Source organism: Homo sapiens, chromosome 9 (assembly GCF_000001405.40).
Source record: "Homo sapiens chromosome 9, GRCh38.p14 Primary Assembly".
Taxonomy (NCBI): Eukaryota; Metazoa; Chordata; class Mammalia; order Primates; family Hominidae; genus Homo; species Homo sapiens.
This window is the reverse complement of record NC_000009.12, coordinates 114,012,678-114,030,568: the sequence shown is the minus strand read 5'-3', so window position 1 is coordinate 114,030,568 and position 17,891 is coordinate 114,012,678. Positions and strand designations below refer to the sequence as shown.

The following is a 17,891-nucleotide window of genomic DNA, read 5'->3' as shown; positions in this document are numbered from 1 at the left end:
CCTGAGGCCTGTCCCATAGCTTGCTGAATGCCTACTCAGAGACACTGAAGCTGGAGACCGGCCACGTACCACACCCTGTGGGCCGCCCTCTGCAGAAACCGCAGGCATAAAAACTCCCAGCCACAAAGTGCAAGAGAGAAAGCAAGATTTGAAAGCCACGATTCCATGATTTAGTGGAGCCGATATCTATCACCAATGAGACCGTGATGACCAATTTGCTTCTAACTAATTTATGCTACTGTTGAAAAACACAACGGCTACTGGCTTTTCTCAACACGGTACCTGAAAAACCATGACCTTCAAACCTTCAAGGCTGACTGACTACTCTCCTTTTGGGAGATCTAAGCACAATAAACATATCTTCGAAGAATCACGCCCTTGCCCAAAATTAGCCTCCTGAACTGAGGAGTAAAGGAAAGCACGGCTTAATCACTCGGCTGGGTTGTCAGTCACCGAATGAACCAAGTGGATCCTTTACCTGAGTTCTCACCTTGATCATCTATTTATTTAAGAAATGGCTTTGGTCTCCTGAGGACAACTGAAGGGCCCGCGGTCCCAGAGGCACCACATCATCACTCTGCCCTACAACCCACAAGTCCCGGCAGGTGGCCCAGGGCTGGTTCCATCCAAACGTGAATCTAAGAATTCCTGACTGCTGGTCCTCAGCACACAGTGTGTCTGGCCAGTTTTTCTGGAGGAAATAACTTCTCGGAACTTTTTATTGTCTGTTTACCCCTCTGGAGCCAGAGTCCTTTGCAGTGTGAACTGAGGAAATGGTGGCATCCACTGATTTCCTGCTGGGCCTGTATCTCATGGAGGAGTTTCACGGGTAGTGCTACAGAGGGGGAGGGCAAGAGACCAGAGATCTAGGTCAACCATCCGGCTTATCCTGCTTTGTTCAGAGCAGATCCTTGTTGAAATGACTTTTTTTTTTAAATTAAGTTTTCTGAAAGGTGGGAGATGCAAACTCATGCCAACAGGGTCCAGGCAGGCAACAGAAACAGATGAACTGGGTTGGATGTAAGACAGACAACAGTGTGATCACAATGAGAAATGACACCTGCCACATGGCCATTGTGTTGGGGAGGCAGTAAGGCGTGGTGAGGATGTGGAAAAGTGGAGAGCACACACTCTACTCAAGGAGGCAGCCAATCGTTGTCCTGTAGGAAAGTGGGTCCAGGACTGCCAGGTTTGACTTTTCAATGTCAGGTAGAAATCAAAAGTTTTACATAAAATTTGATGTTCAGAAGCTGGCAATTAACTAAAAAATTTTTTAAACCTTGTGAAGAATGTCAAAACAGGCCCCTCAGGCCATGATTTGGGAAAAAATATTCTACTACTTAAAAAAAAAAGTTTGCAAACCTCCTTGTACAACCCTCTGATTTAAGGTGAGAAGACTTGGCTCAGAAATGTGAGGTGGCTTGTCATGGTCACAGAGCCAGCCAGAGGCAGAGCTGGGACTCAGATTTGTCCCAGATCACTACGGGACTGCCACTCTTGCTCTTGCAAGGCAACAACAACCCCAGGCACAGCTGTGGCAGGTGGTGAGAAGGGCAGTGGGGGAGAAAGTGTGGGGGTCACATAGGCCATTGGTACCTGCGGTTGCCTTGCTCGCCGGAGATCCCGAATTTGGAGTGCGGAACGTCTGGGTTTGGGTGGCTGGAGGGGTGCGGTGTAAGAGGGTGGCACATCGGACCACGGAGGCCGGAGCTTTTTTCCCCGACTGGTTCGTCTGGGTCTTCGCTGCCACGAAGCGTGGAGATGGGGAGACCTCTGGATGTGAACACTCAGAGCCCGTGTCTGGATCATCCGGTGGCTCCCACCCGGGGGCAGTACCTGAGAGGGTCACGCTCTCAGTCCCCGAGGGCCCTCCCAGCCGGCAGAGTGAGTGGCCTCTCGGGCCACCAGCCCCACATTCCAGGGTTGGGACTGTCTCTGTCCAACCTCTTCTTGTGCCACAGAGAACAAGGATTCTCACTTAACTCAGAGCCAGAGAAAGTCCAGGAGTCTGGAACCTTCTGTCAGCTCACGCTTAGTTATCTGGAGGCCACCAACCAGCCCACTGTGTAGGTCACCCATAACCCTTGACCAGCCCAGTCTCTGGACTGACTGGCTCTTAGGGCATCTGAATTGGTTAACCCAGGCCCAAGTGCATCTTCTAGAATGTTGGTTTCTAAGCTCCTTTTCCTTTAAAGGAAGGCTGGCTTGGAAGTTACAATAGGAAGTAGACAGGCAGGGACATGCCGGGGCTGGGGGTGAGGCAGAGGGGCCTGATAGTCCCTCCAAGGTTTTAGGGCAAGGGGCTCTGTGGTGCCTTGTGGGCACTGACTGGGAACTGTTGCTCTCATGGGACACCTGACGCTTTAATTGAAATAAGTGTAGCAGTTCCTGGATGCTGTCTGGGGAACCCTGCATCACCATTACCCAGGCCCCCTGCCTCCCTCACCTGAAAAGTCCGTAGAAGCTGGAGTCACTGAGAACCGGGGGCTGGCTCTCCAGCAGTTTCCACCTCTGGTGGTCTTGGGAGAGCATCAGTTGGCCTCCTTCACCCTCCCCTGAACCCTTAGCAGTGGTGGCCAGCCCCTGAACCTGGCCACACTTCCACACTTCAACCTGGCCTCATTCTCATGAATGAGACTCAGAGATCATGCAAAATCCACAACTCTCCCTGAGGGCAGGAAGGGGGCTAGGCAGCAAGAGGAAGCAGGGGCCCTTTGGTACCGACCAGAGGCTCACAGAACCCCCGAGAATTAGTAACACCAGAGGGTACTGTCTTGACTCAGTGCCTGGCCACAGCCCTGACCTGCCTAGCGAAGGACCTGGCTGTTGCTCCCCTGGCCCAGGCAGGTGGAGGCAGGCCCCATTATCTCCCTGCTCCTAAGACAGCGTCCGTCCTGGGCACTGTATGCAGAGCCTAAATGAAAGGGCCCCCTGGCCCGCCACCTCTGCTCATTCCTGGCACAGAAGGCGAAGCTCAGCCCAAAGAAGCAGGATGCAGGGCCTTGTCCAAGGTCACAGAGGAACTGAGTGGCAAAAAGAAAAAGCCACTCTATGGTCCTTCATTTACCACACTGGTGCATGGGGTGAGCTGTGAGGACTGGGGCTGCCCATTCTCCCCCGTGGAGGGTCACCCACTCCTCGCCTACAGTGGTGGCCACGTGCTGGGAGCAGGGAGTTCTTTAGTCATGCCCCACTTAAACAAGCCCTCATCTGTCCGCCCCAGCCCCAGAAACAAATCCCAAGGCCTCAGTCTGCGGAAAACACTTGTGTCCCTTGTGACCTGAGCTGCCACTCTTGGGACTCTCCCTTCCTGAATCAGGAACTGAGAAGTCTTGGGTGGCAAAGGACACTTGTATACCTACTCTCCTGCTCTCTGTCTCTCTTTCTGAGCCGAGGGCCTCAGAGGCCCCTGAGTCCCACCAGGTGATTGCTTGTCTCATAATTTCCAATTTTTTTTTTTAACCCACAGAATGAACCGACACATTCAATGTTGCAATAGGCACCCAGAGTCCATTTCTAATATCACTGCTGGCTTCCTGTGTGAGGCAGAGTTTGGGGACCACAGCTGGTTATTCACTGTAATGGAACCAGCCTTGAGTCTGGAGTGAGGCAAATCCACCTCTGAAGCCCAGCTCTGTAACCCTCGGCCTCCACAATCTTGGAGACTATACCTCCCCTCTCTCGGCCTTTGTTTTCCCCCCTCGACTCCACCAACACTGGGATGACCCTCTCCACATAGCAAGTCTCACGGGGACTTTATGGGAATCCAAGAAAGTCTCAGAAGCATCCTGAATGATAAACTGCTCTTCAAATGTAAGTATCTATTACTGGTATTTTTCAGAGATTAAAAAAACCCAAGGCCCAAAGGCTTATTCTGGCCACAGACATAATAAGTTTGTTGATGGCAACACACAAAGTTAGTGCTGAGATGAGACAGGGCTCAAGTCTGCCGGCTGTGCAAGGAGGCCTTTGGCACAAGGCCGTGCACTCCTCTGCTCTCCATGGCAGTGACCCACACAGGAACAGAGTTTCTGAGCAACAGCCTGATCAAGCTGCTTTCCCTCTGAGGCTTCAGGCTCCATCCTTGCAGAATGACTCTAGGAGCCCCGTTGGATCAGCCCGTTACAGAGTCTACAATTCCTGCTGTAAAGATCCTGGCATTCTGAGGCACACAGCCCCCTCTTTCCCTGTGGCAGGGAGCTCAGGAACATGCATAAAGCACATGGTATCATAGGCCTGAGGGCATCACCTGTGTGCTCTGACCACCCCGCTTGGGACCGCTCCCCTCTCCAGCTTCCTCACAGGCCATTGAGCTCCTTGCCTTCTCATATCCTACAATATCCTTTCTCTTTCAAGCTCATAGCCTTTGTGCATGCTATTCCCTCTGCCTCGAACATTCTTCCCTCAAACTTTTGACTGTTGGTCCTACACACTGTACTTAAAAATCTCTTCCTTAGGGAGTCTGCCTCCCCCAAAACTCCCCATCTGGGACCATTTATTTGTCAGTCCCCTCTTGCCTTCCCTTTCAAGGACTGATCACCATCAGTAATGATACACAGTATGACCTTTGAACAATGGCTCTCTCCCCATTAGCGTGTATGCTCCAAGAGAGCAGGAACTCTGCCAGCCTTGCCCGCCATGCACAGAGTGTTTGGCACGTTCCCTGAAACACAGTGCTCAAGAGACATTGTGGAATCCATGTATCAATGCGTGAGCGGCCAGGAAATTTAAAGTCAGAACTGCTGAAGAAGAGCACATCAAAGATGGGATCCCAATGAGGGCACATAATGGTACCATGAAGCTATCTGACATGTTATCCTCCCAGTGGTCCCAAAGGTATAAGGCAGATGGGGCTACTCAAGCTCAGAGAGGTATGGCTATCAATTCTGGGTCACAGGGTGGGTTGGGCTGGGCCAGGATCAATGTCCCAGGCTCCTGACTCATTCTACTTAACAGTGTGCTCCCTCTGTTGACCTCACAGGGAACACTGTCATGCTGGAATTCCTACCTGAGCTCTTCCTGAGAAAGCATGAAAGAGTCTCAGACAGACTGGCTGACTTCCCCTGTAGGAAACACACATGCAGTATCTACACACAAGAGATATCTAAAAAATAACAGAGCACTGTGGTCTCCTTTCCAGAAAGCTGAAAATTTAACTGGACCAAAAAAATTTAGAGAATGCATGGAGCAAAGAAATTTAGAGAATGCAAGGATTCAAGAAAAGCAACCACACAATCAAGGGAGTGGAGAGGCCAGGGGGTTTCCCCGAAACTTCCACGAGGTAGAGGAGGATGAAACTGCATTGGAGGCAAATGGAATCACGTGCTCAAGGGCTGGAGGTGGAGATGAATGGGAGATGGGATGCAAGAGGAGTCAACCTGGGAACCCCTCCTCGTGAATCTTCATCTTAGAAAGAGAACTGGGGAACTCACACTTCTGGCCATGACGGAGTAACTGATACAAGACTAGCTTCCTGCCATATTCAACTATAAAGCTGGACAAAGGTGGTGCAGAACTGTGATTCAGGAGAGAAAACATGATGTGAGCCCCATGGTCACTCTAGCTCTCTGCTTGGGGAGCCCCTCTGGACCAGGGCAGAGAGAGGTGGAGCCCAAACATCTCAGTGAACAAAGGAGACAGTGATCTGAGTTCAGGGCTTTTGAGGTGGCTAGAATTTGCACGGCAAATTAACAAAGAAGAGAGAATTCTGCAACAAAAAGAACTCCAGAAATGTGCATATGGGCCCCCTTGAAATCTGGCTGAATACCAAACTATATTTGTGCAGATGAGTCTCCGCAAAGCCTAGCAAAAAAACAGCTAATGGGGGATGGGGGTGGGGGGGCTGTGTAGTGAGTGAAGATTCAAAAGTCACACAAGAGTAGGAGATATTTTGGAGTTCCCCCTAGCCAGAGAGGCGAGACCTTGCTCAATACTTCAGGCATTCAGCTAAGAAACGGCCAGAAAGGCCATGCCTTAGAAGAGCTGTTCTAACCCCAGAATAAGAACTATTCTAGACCTGTCCTAACACAGCTTAAAAACCAGCTTTTGAAGTATTGAGTTGATTTGGAAGTAATTAACTACCTGCCAGAACAAAACTCTTTTCAAAGGAAGACAAAATCAAGTCAACAACACAGCATTCCCAGGATGCAGCACGGAAGAAACAATTATTTTCCAGGCAACACAGGAAAATGTGACCAGTAATCAAGAGAAAAACCAATTAACAGAAACATACAGAAATGACAAGGAAAGATGAAAAATAATGAAGAGAAATAAAAATTATAAAAAGAAACCAAATGAAACTTAGATGAAAAATATGATAGCTGAAATAAAAAGTTCACTTAATGGATTTTTCTAATAAAGCAGATTAGACACCACAGAAGAGAAGATCAGTGAACTTGAAGACAGGGCAATAGAATCTATTCAAACCGAAGCACAGAAGGAAAACAAGGCTGAAAAAATGAACAGAGCTTCAGTTATCTGTAAACATTATTGATTATCAAATATCTATGTAATTAAAGTCTCAACAAGAGAGAAAAGAGAGATTAGGAAAGAAAAATATTTGAAGAAATACTGGCTGAGAATTTTCCAAATTTGATGAAAAATGTACACTCATGATCCAAGAAGCTCAATGAATCTCAAACAGGATAAACACAAATAATGAAATTGCTAAAAACTATTAACCCAAGAAATACTTAAAAGCATCCAGAGAAAAAATATACACTAAATATAGATGAATAACAATCAGAATGATCTCTGACTTTTCATCAGAAACAACTTAAGCCAGAAGACAAAGGAATGACATTTTTAAACATAAAAAAATTTATCAGCCTAGAATTCTATATCCAGAAAAAAAATCCTTCAAAAAAATATGTGAAATAAAAACATCTTCAGCTTAGAGAATCTTTCACCAATAGACCTACAATATAAGAAATGTTAAAGGAAGTTCTTCAAGAATTAAAGAAAATGATAATTGATGGAATTCAGATGTATACGAAGGAAAGAAAAGCAAACAAAATGGAAAATAAGTAAATATAAAAGGCATTTTCTAATTTCTCAGTTACTTTAACAAATTACTGTTTAAAGCTAAAAGAGTAATTGTTGGGTTTATAACACACATAGGCATAAATGTATGATAAAAATAGCACAAAGAACAGGAGGGCAGTAAATGGGAAGTATGCCATTGTAAAGCTTTTATATTATATGTAATGTGTTATGATATAAATTCGTGGTGGACTGTAACATATGAAACATGTATATTATAAATCATAGAGAAACCACTAAAGAAAAAGAGTTATGGCTAGAAAGCTAAGAGGCATTTTTAAAAAATACTTGATTAATACTAAAGAAGGCACGAAAATAAGAAAAAGATGAACAAGAACAAATGGGACAAATAGAAAAAATGCAAGATAGTAAACTTAAATCTAACCATATTAATATAGTATATTAAATGTAAATGAATTAAACATTTCAATTAAAAGGCAGGGATTACCAGACTGGATAAAGAAAGGCATAAGAACCAACTATATATACATACTTCAAATACAAAGATAAAGGTAGATTAAAATAAAATGATGAAAAGAGATATACTATGCAAATACTAATCCTAAGAAAGCTGTCATGGCTTACAGTAACAGACAAAGGAAATTTCGGGACAACAGGCATTACCAGAGATATAGAATGGCATTGCACTACTTTATAAAGGGTCAATTCATCAAGGCATAATGATGCTAACTGTGTGTACCTAATAACAAAGGTTCGAATTACATAAATTGAAGACTGACAAACCTAAAAGGGGAAATAGACAAATCCACCATTAGAGTTGAGAATTTTGATGCTTCTCTCTCAGAACTTGGTAAGACAAACTAATTAAAAAAGAAAGTGGGAAAGAGTATAGAGATTTGAACAGCATTATCAACCAACTTGGCCTAACTGACAATACGAGATGCCTTTTTTTTTTTTTTTTTTTTGGTCAAGTGGACATGAAACCGCAGCAGAAGAGACCATAAGGTAGGTCATAAAACTTATCTCAATGAATTTTGAAGACTGGAAAATACAGAATATGTTCTCTGACCACAATGGAATTAAGTTAGAAGTCAATAGCAACAAAAAATCTGGATAATTCCCAAATATTTGGAAATGGAATATATTTCTAAATAATCCTTCCTACAAAGAAAACTTCAGGCTCAAAAGCTTAACTGTTGAATTGTATAGAATACTTACATAAAATAATACCAATTCTATATAAACTCTTCAGAAAATTGAAGAGGAGGGAGTACTCTTCCCAATTCTATGAGGCCTGCAATACTCTGATACCCAACGAGACGAGAACATTACAAGAAAAGAAAATTGTACTGCTGGTTGGAATGTAAAATGGCACAACTACTTTGGAAAACAACATGGCTGTTGTTAAAAGTTAAACAACCATCTACCATATGATCCAGTCATTCCATTCTTAGGTAATTACCCAAGAGAAATAAAAGCATTTTTCCTTACAAAGGCTTGTACACAAATGTTCATAACTGCTTTATTTGTATTAGCTCCAGAACTCTAGCCAGAAATACTCTAAATATCCACCCATAAATGAACAAAGTAATTGTGGCATGTATATCTGGAAATGGAATACTACTCATCATCAGTTAAAAGAGAATGAACTACTGATACATGTAAGCATAGATGAATCTCAAAATAATTATGCAGAGTGAAAGAAGCCAGACCTCTCCCTTCAAAAATATATACTTACATACTGTAAGATTCCATATATGTAAAATTCTAGGAAACGCAAACTAATTTACAGTAATAGGAAGCAGATTAGTGTTTGCCTCGGGATGGGGAAGTGGTAAGCAAATTACAAAAGGGCATGAGAAAACTGTTGGGGGTGATGGGTATGTTAATTAGATTGTGGTGACCGTTTCATGGGTGCATGCATAGGTCAAAACTTATCAAACTGTACACTTTAAATAACAGGCACTTTATTATATGACAATATACTTCAATCAATATTTAAAAACTTCACCAGAAATATTCATTTTCTTAATTATGACCTTCATTAACACACCACTGATTAAATATAGGCATTCTGCTAATCCTAGGACTGTATTTCCCTGCCCTTGAGGAGACAGTTTTGGGAGTGATATCAAAAGGAAGTAAAATCCTGAAGAATTTTAGATAGAAGTGAGAGGAAAACATGTTCTTAAAAACAAATTACTCTATAAACTAACCTTGGATCGTTAAGTAATTTAGATGCCTAAGCAAGAACTTGATTGTGGGGTTATTCCACAATGTATACATATGAAATAATCAAGTTATACAACTTAAATATACCCTATTAAGAAAAAACAGAAGCTTCAAAGAAGGAAGTCATTTTATCTGGCAAAGAATAATCATCCCCAGGTTGTAACTTTCTTCAGTTCATTTTACAGTTTGACTTTCTGATATTCTTAACGTGTTTTAATAAAGTATAGGAATGGTGAATTTTTTTTAAGTCTATGTAATTCACCAGTACTAACAAAAGAGAATATAAGAATCCACAGAATCACCTCAAAAGATGGAGGAAAAAAACATGCAACATCAATTTATAAGAAAAACTTTTAATAAACTATAAATAAGAGGTAACTTATTCAACTGATAATGGGCATCTATAAAAACCTACTTTAGCTAACACAATGCTTAACAATAAAAAACTGAACTCTATGATTGGGAACATGGCAAAAAATATTCACTAATTTCTTCTATTCAACATTGTACTGGAGGGACCTAACCAGAATAGTGAGGAAGAAAAAAAATAAAAAGAATACAGATTGGAAGGAAAGAAATAAAGCTGTCTTTATTTGTGGATGACATCAATATGCAAAAGAAAATCCAAAAAAATCTAAAAAAATCTATTAGAACTAATAAGTAAATTTAGCTAATTTGCAATACACAAATTCAATACACAAAGATTGATTTTTTTATAGGCAATAGCAACAGACAATTGGAAAATTAAATTTAAAAGTCATGGTAGTGTCACAAACCATAAAATACTTGGAGATATGGAATGAAATATGTGCAAGACTTCTCTGAAAAGTACAAACTGCTCCTGAGAGAAACTAAACAAGCCCTAAATACTTGGGGAAATATACCATGTTCATGGATTGGGAGACCCAATATTATTGTAATGATGATTCTCCCCAAATTGATCTACAGATTCAATAGAATCCCAAACAAACTCCAAGTTGCATTTTTTTGGTAGAAATTAGAGAAGACTCTAACATGAATATGGAAGAATAAAGTTTCTAGAATAGCCAAATAGTCTTAAAAAATAACAATGCTGAAAAACTAAGAGCAGCTGATTTGAGACTTACTAGAGAGCTATAAGTAAAATCATGTGGAATAGGCATAAAGATAAACAAACAGGCCAACGGAAGAGAAAAATACTTACACATTCAAATAACTTTCCACAAAAGTACCAGTGCAATGCAATAGGGAAAGATAATCTTTTCAACACATGATGTTGTAACAACCAGGTATCTGTATGGAATAAAATGAGTCTCAACTCATACCTCACATCATTTGAAAAGTTAAGTTGAAATATATCACAGACATAAATGAAAAAGCTAAAATTACAAGGCTTCTAAAAGATAATAAAACAGGGTATCTTTACCATTTTGAGGTAGGCAAGGATATCCTTGAGGTAGAACCCAAAAAGCACTAACAATAGAAAAAAATGATAAACTGGACTTCATCAAAATGAAAGACATCTGTTCATCAAATGATGCTGTATGAAAATCAACTGGCATGCCAGAGACTAGGAGAAAAATCCACAGTACATGTATCTGGCAAAGAACCCAGGCCTACTGGAATATAGAAAGAACTCCTACAACTTAATAATAAAAAAGACAAACAGCCCAACCAAATAAATGGGCAGAAGACCTAAAGAGACAATTTCCAAAGTAAAATATGTAAGTGGCCAATAAGTAAATATAAAGATGTTCAACGTCATTAGTTATCAGGAAAATACAAATTAACACCACAGTGAGACTCCACTATCCCCTCACTAGAATAGCTGAATTAAACAGACCAATACCATCGAATGTTGGCAAGAACATGGAGCAAGTGGAACTCACAGGCACAGCTGGCAGGAGTGAAAGATGCTATGGTCATTTTGGAAAATGGTTTGTCACTTATTAAAAAGTTAAACATACTATTCCCCATGACCCAGTCATTCTACTCCTTGGTATTTATCCAAAGAAATGAACACATATGCCCACAAAATCCTCATATAAGCATTTTCATAGCAGCTTTATTTATAATAGCCTAAAGCTGGAAACAACCCAAATTAACAGGTAAATGGCTAACAAACGGTATTTTCATACAATAGAACATTGCTCAGAAGTAAAAAAGAATGAACAACTGATACATATGAGAATATGATAAAATATGAATCTTAAAAACATTCTGCTGAGCAAAAGAAGTCAGACATAAAAGAATATAGATTCTATGACACTAATTCTAAGAAATTCTTCCACAGTCAGTCTATGTCCTTATGGACACTCACCAGACCCAGAGTCTCAAGTCCCAGCCATGGATACCACCTGATGAAGCCCTCAAGTCCAGCCCCTGCCTCCACAAGAAGTCCATTGGCACACAAATCTCTAACACCAGAGGCCACTGCAGGAGCTATCTCTTGGACAGCCTTGGATAAATAATTCTCTCTTGAATCTAGGCTAAATCTCTCATGCTGTATTTTAAACACAGATGATCCCTGAGTCCCCAGACTTCAGTAGGTAACAGAGAGATTAATTCAACAAGCAGATACAGGAAGAAAGAAAGAGAGTTCATAATAGAAAGCAAAAGAAAGTGAGGAACACAGAAAGAAAAGTAGACAGCCCTTCAGGAGAGATGCACCAGGCTGTCAGGGAAAAACTTAGGGTGGAAGAGACACACCCCTTTCTGCTTTACCATCTGACATGGGATGTAGGATAGCTTCATGGTTGAGTGTGGGCCTGGAGCCTGCCTGCCGGAATTCAAAGCCAAGCTCCCCATCTTACTAACTCCATGGCCTTACTCAACTTGTCCCAGGAAGCACTGAAGATAGTCTCCAAAGGCTGAACTCAAGGTTATAGTCTGGCCTTGTAGCTAACACCTCACTGAAAGTGCATTCTGGGTAGCATCCAGCCTGGGCACCAGGGAGCAGGGCAGTTGCTGCTTCACTGGAGAACAAACATGGCTGCCCTGTACCTGCTTATGGAAAGCTGGATCTCCAGAGGGGCACAGGCCATGGTGTTCAAGCCCGACCACAGCCCTGCTGCCTGGGCATCAGCACCACAAGTGGGTCAACTGGACAGTCGGTGCCTACCCAGTGGAATCCTGCATCCTCTCTCTCCACACAAGATCTGGCTCTATGGCGGGTACTGAATGACCTATATAGCCCAGGCTGGGAAGTGGAATGGATTCTTCTAGTGGGGCCATAGCAGGTACCTCATGTCAGAGATGTCTATAATCCAGATCCTGGGCTGAAAAGACCTTAAACAGCTTTCACAGATGGGAAAAGAGCCCAGAGAAGGAAAGCAACAGGCACAAGGTCACAGAGCAGTGAGGGGCAAGCAGGGATGAGAATCTCAGCCCAGTGCTCGACCTCAGGACTGGAGTTCTCACCCACGGGAAGACCCCTCAGCCCCTGCCACTCTGCCCAGAGGGGAGGAATTCCTGGGGAAGCTACCTACACCACCCTCCAGGCTCTGAATACTTCTCCCTCCCTATCCAATACCCTTGGTATCCCAACAGCAGGGCTCTAGGAGGGACCTGGGCCTTCCCAGACTATAAGGGGCTTCAGCCCCCAGTGACCTTCTGTAAACCCTCCCTCTCTGTTTGGACCAAAGTCTTCCCATCCACAGAATGGGGAGAGGGATCCCCACAGCTCTGCTGTGAGAAACAAAACCAGCAACACTTCCAAAAACGCTGCTAAACATCCAGCCCTACTGCCCTGAGACTGCACAAGCCCCACCCCTGTCAGACTTTGGTTTCTGCACCTGCACATGAAAGAGAGGGAGGCTGATGGGCCCCCTAGCTCATATACTCGGGGATCTGAGGATGGAGACCCCTCAAATATCCAGAAAAGGAGCTGGGAAATCAGTAAGGTAGGCTCACGGGCACCAGGAGGATGGAAGGTGAGGATGTCACTGTGGGAAGGGCCCTTAGAGCCCCTTCCTTTCCCAGTCAGAGTGGGAGATGGTGGTCCAGGGTCAGGACGCAGCCTGCCCCAGGTCACAAGCAGGCCTGGGACTCAGCTGGGATTAACAGCCAGGGCTTGACTCCCAGCTCAGGGTTCCTGCCACCTCCTTAGCTTCCCACCATCAAGGACCAAGAGGGAGCTTTCCTGTCCAGTTAACCACGCCCCTAGCCCGGGCTCCTTCATGCATCTGTTCAGACTGAAGCTGCATCATGCGGAACTGGCTTTGGGGGTGGAGATTCATAAACCTTGTGATGTAGCGGTACCTAGAAGAGGGCCACAGCAGGACTTGGACAAGTGATGTCCACCCTCCTCACCCCAATCATGTGGGCACAGGACTCTGAGTCCACTAAGGGAGGGCTCGGACTCTGCTCTGGCTTAAGAGGGGGACTTCTCAGCTATGCCGGCCACTGTAGACAGGTGGCCCTGGGTCAGACATAATACCTAAAGACTGACCCAGAACTGAGCTCACCTTGCTTTCACCATTTCCTGGCCAAATTCCAGAGGCCTGGCCAACGGCTGGCCCACCCTGTCCCGGGTCCCCCAACCCCCATCCCTACCGGGAGGAGGTACTCACTGATGGGGGCGTGTAAGGCCACATGCTCCTGGTAGGGAGTGTAGTACTTGTACTGTTTGCCGCAGAATTCACAGGTGTAATTGCCAGTTTCTGTCCAGGAAGGAAACGAAGGTGTAAGAATGTGCAACTGGCCTCCACCAAGAAGCATCAGCGTGCTCCCACCCCCCAAAAAACTCCTCCCCATTCTGGGACCATCAACTAGAATCAATTCTGACTCTGGAGTTAGAAGACCCCTATTCAAATCCCAGCTCAGACATTTCGAGCTGGGTAACCTCGGGCAAGTCTCTTAACCTCTCTGTGCCTCAGTTTTCCTATCTATAAAACGGAGGTCATAATAGGACCACCTTGTAGGATTGCTGTGAGGATTAAATTTAGATGGCAAGTGCTTAGAACAGTACCTGGCACATCGCTCCACCCCAGACCCGGTGCTCAAGAAGTGTGCTGACCTCCAACACCAACCTCTTCGTCAGCCCCTTTGCAAGCCCTGCCCTCTGCAGTGGCCACACCCGGGGTCCCCTCATCTCCAGGACCTTCCCTGCCCCCAAGCACCCCCCACCCACTAGCAGCAGGGGTCACTTCTTCCTCTCAAGTCCCACCCGACTTTATCTTTACCTCTCTTTTGGCACTGCCTAACTTCTTTCTTCTTAAAAATGTCTGATGTAATATTGTTCACTGGGGGAAAATTATAAAATACTGATAAATACAAATACAGAATAAAAACTAAAGAGAAATTTCAATCATCTGTAACCCCCAAACAAAGAGCAGCATCTACCCCCTTGGGGGAGGGTGCCCTGGTCCCCACTCTTCATTCTGTCTCATCTGGGGTGCGCTTCTCTCACTGATAACACCTGTCTGGCTCCTGTGAGCCCTGAATTAGCCAGTCCTGATCAATATCCTCTTTGTAATCTGGTGTATTCAACCGACATTACTTTGTGGACATCTTGCCCAATCAATAAATATTGATCTCTACTGCATCTATTGGCTGCATGGTTCCCACTGGACTTTGGAATTTGCTGAGCCAGTCCCCTACACCAAGGGACATTGAAATTGTTTCAAAATTTTTTCCCTATTAAGAAAAATGCTGTGACTCATGTTTTTATAGAAATTTTTGCACATTCACCCATTAATTTTACACATTATCACAAAATAAAGGCTATTCCATATAATCTTTGCACATTATTTCCTGTGGAAAAATTCAAGAGAGGGAAAGGGTATGTATTTTTAAGGCCTTTGATAATCATAGCACCATCATCCCAACCAGAAAGGTATGAAAATGACTGTTTATGCATACTACAGCCAGCATTAAGTATTATCATCTTCTTACATTCTGCCTATCTGATGAGAAGAACTATATTACACTGATTTTACTTTCCATTTCTTTGATTTCTAAGGAAATTGATTATTTTTCATGTTTAATTAACTATTGTTTTTCTTTTGTGACTTTCCTTTTGTGTTTACAGCCAGCATTTCTACAGGCATATTGACATTTATGAAATGGCTAAACTCTTTGTAGATTAAGGATATCAACATTTTGTTATATGTGTTAAAATTAATTTGTTCTTAATTGGTTTATTAGTCTGTTTATGGTTTTTCTCTCCTGCTATAGAATTTTTAGTAGTTAAATAATTTTTGTAACTGATTCATAAACATTGGAAATGGTAAGTTACTTGCTCTCGGTAGGATTCAGTTATTACATCAACTGTATTAAATATATTATTTAAATTCTATACAACCTTGTTTGTCTACTTGCTCTGTCAAAGACTAAATATTGTGATAAATCTTTCCACTTCACTGTATTTCTAAATTTATTTTGTATATTTGGAAACAATGTTGTTTGATACCTAAAAGCTCATGGGATCAAAATCTTCACTGTGAACTATATTTAGTAACATAAAACTATTTTCCAACACAGTGCTTCTCAAAGTGCGGTCCCTGGACCAGCAACATCAGTATCACCTGGGAACCTGTTAGAAATCCAAATTCTTAGGACTCACCTAAGACCTACTGAAAAAAAAATTCTAGGTGTTGTGTCCTGCAATCCATGTTTTAACAAGCCCTCCAGAAAATTCTGATGTGTGGGAAAGCTTGCTGTAACATTTAATTATTCCGTTTTATTAGTTTGTCTGGCATAAATAATTTGATAATTTGTCAGACCCTGATCTATTTGTTTACATGTACCTGAAGACATGTCCCTATATTTTCTCGTACTGTCATTCATTAAACAGGTACTGTGCTAAGTGCTGGCACAAAATGCTAAGCAAAAACAGGCAAAGTTCTTGCCTTCAAGGAGTTTACAGTCTAACAAAAGGAGATCAAAAAATCAAAGAAACACTCAGACAAATTTAAAACTCCATCCACAGTAAGTGCTCTCAAGGAGACATATGCAGTGCTATAAAAACCCATGATAGGGAATTTAATCTAGTTCTGGAAGTAGGAAAGAGAAGCTCAAGTGCAGAGTAAAGATAAGGAATTAACCTTGTCTCTAATACACCATTAATAACTGGATTATTTTAAATCAACCTCACAAGCTTTGCCTTCTAATAAAGGAGATTATGCCATTTGCTTTTATTGCTATAATTGATTTGGTTTTACAAGTCTTGTTCATGCTCCACCTTTTCTGATTGCTGCCTTAATTCCCACTTGTTTGATATATGAACTCTATATTTTTCCATTATTCTCTGATATTCCATTATTTTCCAATTTTCTCTATTGTTTTAGACAATTAGACAGTATATAAGATATATTTCTCTAATTGTTAATAGTCAAGTGGGAAATAGCATTTTTCTGTCTATCACCATGGAGAAAGATAGTTTAAACCAGTGTTTCTCAAACTTTAGCATGTCAAAGAATCATCTGGAAAGACTGTTACAACATAGCTTGCTGGAGAAATTCTCATCCTGTAGGTCTGGAGTAGGGCCTAAGAATATACATTTCTAATAAGCTTCCAGGAATGCTGCTCTGCTGGTCTGGAGCCACACTATGAATAGGAAGGCTTAACCTACTTTACTGTAAGCCCTCCCCAATTCCTCCTTCCTTTTAAAAAAATAAAACCCTGGCTGGGTGTGGTGGCTCACGCCTGTAATCCCAGCACTTTGGGAGGCCGAGGCAGGTGGATCACAAGGTCAGGAGATCAAGACCATCCTGGCTAACACGGTGAAACCCCGTCTCTACTAAAAATATAAAAAAATTAGCCAGGCGTGGTGGCGGGCGCCTGTAGTCCCAGCTACTTGGGAGGCTGAGGCAGGAGAATGGTGTGAACCCAGGAGGCGGAGCTTGCAGTGAGCCGAGACTGCGCCACTGCACTCCAGCCTGGGCGACAGAGTGAGACTCTGTCTCAAAAAATAAAAAATAAAAAATAAATAAAACCCTCATTTTTAATATTTTAGAATAATCTGCCTTCTGCAATTTTATAATCAGATTTGGAACATTTTAAACTAACTTCTAGTTTATCTTGTTTTACTACTCACAGTTCCTCTTATACTATGAATTTCTCACAATTGAGTCTTTACATGTACTCTACAACTTAGTTCATCAGAGTATATCTTCAAATAATTTTGTGAAGATGGGTACACAGAAAAAAAATACGTTTTTAAGTCCTTGCTTTTCTCTTTACACACAAACCACAATTTGTCTAGATATAAAATTCTTAGATTACAACTTTTTCCCTTCAACACTTATCCATTATCTTCTAAGATTTAGTATTGCAGAGAAGTCTGAGGCAAGTCCACCTTGAATTCATGTATAGGTAACCTACTTTTTTATGCCTGAATGCTTATATAGGTTTTTTTTTTTTCCTATAGTTTTAAAAAGTCACTGAGATCTATGTAGGTACAGGTCTCTTTATATCGAATCTATCTGATACATGATGATTATGCAGATATTAAATCTGCATATACAGGTCTTCCTTTAGCTAAGCAAATTTTTCTTCTATTAGATCTTAGGAGCACTGTTTCTGGCCACTGGTACTATAACATCAATTATCTGAAACCGGCTCCCTGTTCTCCCCATTTATCATATTTTCCTCTCATTATCTTCATCTGTTCAAGTTCATCCTTCACATCACTAATTCCAATTTTGCAGATAAACTCGGCTCTTTACTACATAGAA

At 42.5% G+C, this 17,891-nt stretch overlaps 1 protein-coding gene across 50 annotated transcripts in view; it reads right to left on the bottom strand.

The window, feature by feature from the left end:
- ZNF618 (zinc finger protein 618) overlaps nt 1-17,891 on the bottom strand; it is a 180,285-nt gene that overhangs the window by 26,025 nt on the left and 136,369 nt on the right. For 14 of the 50 annotated variants that reach the window (XM_005251692.4, XM_017014242.3, XM_017014241.3 and 11 more), the window contains 3 exons: nt 14,397-14,456; nt 13,785-13,874; nt 1,597-1,836 (listed from right to left, as the gene is read on the bottom strand). In XM_005251692.4, the coding sequence (XP_005251749.1) occupies nt 1,597-1,836; nt 13,785-13,874; nt 14,397-14,456 (390 nt within the window). The remainder of the gene's footprint in view (nt 1-1,596; nt 1,837-13,784; nt 13,875-14,396; nt 14,457-17,891) is intronic. The other 36 variants (XM_011518201.3, NM_001318042.2, XM_047422717.1 and 33 more) reach the window with 3 other exon arrangements.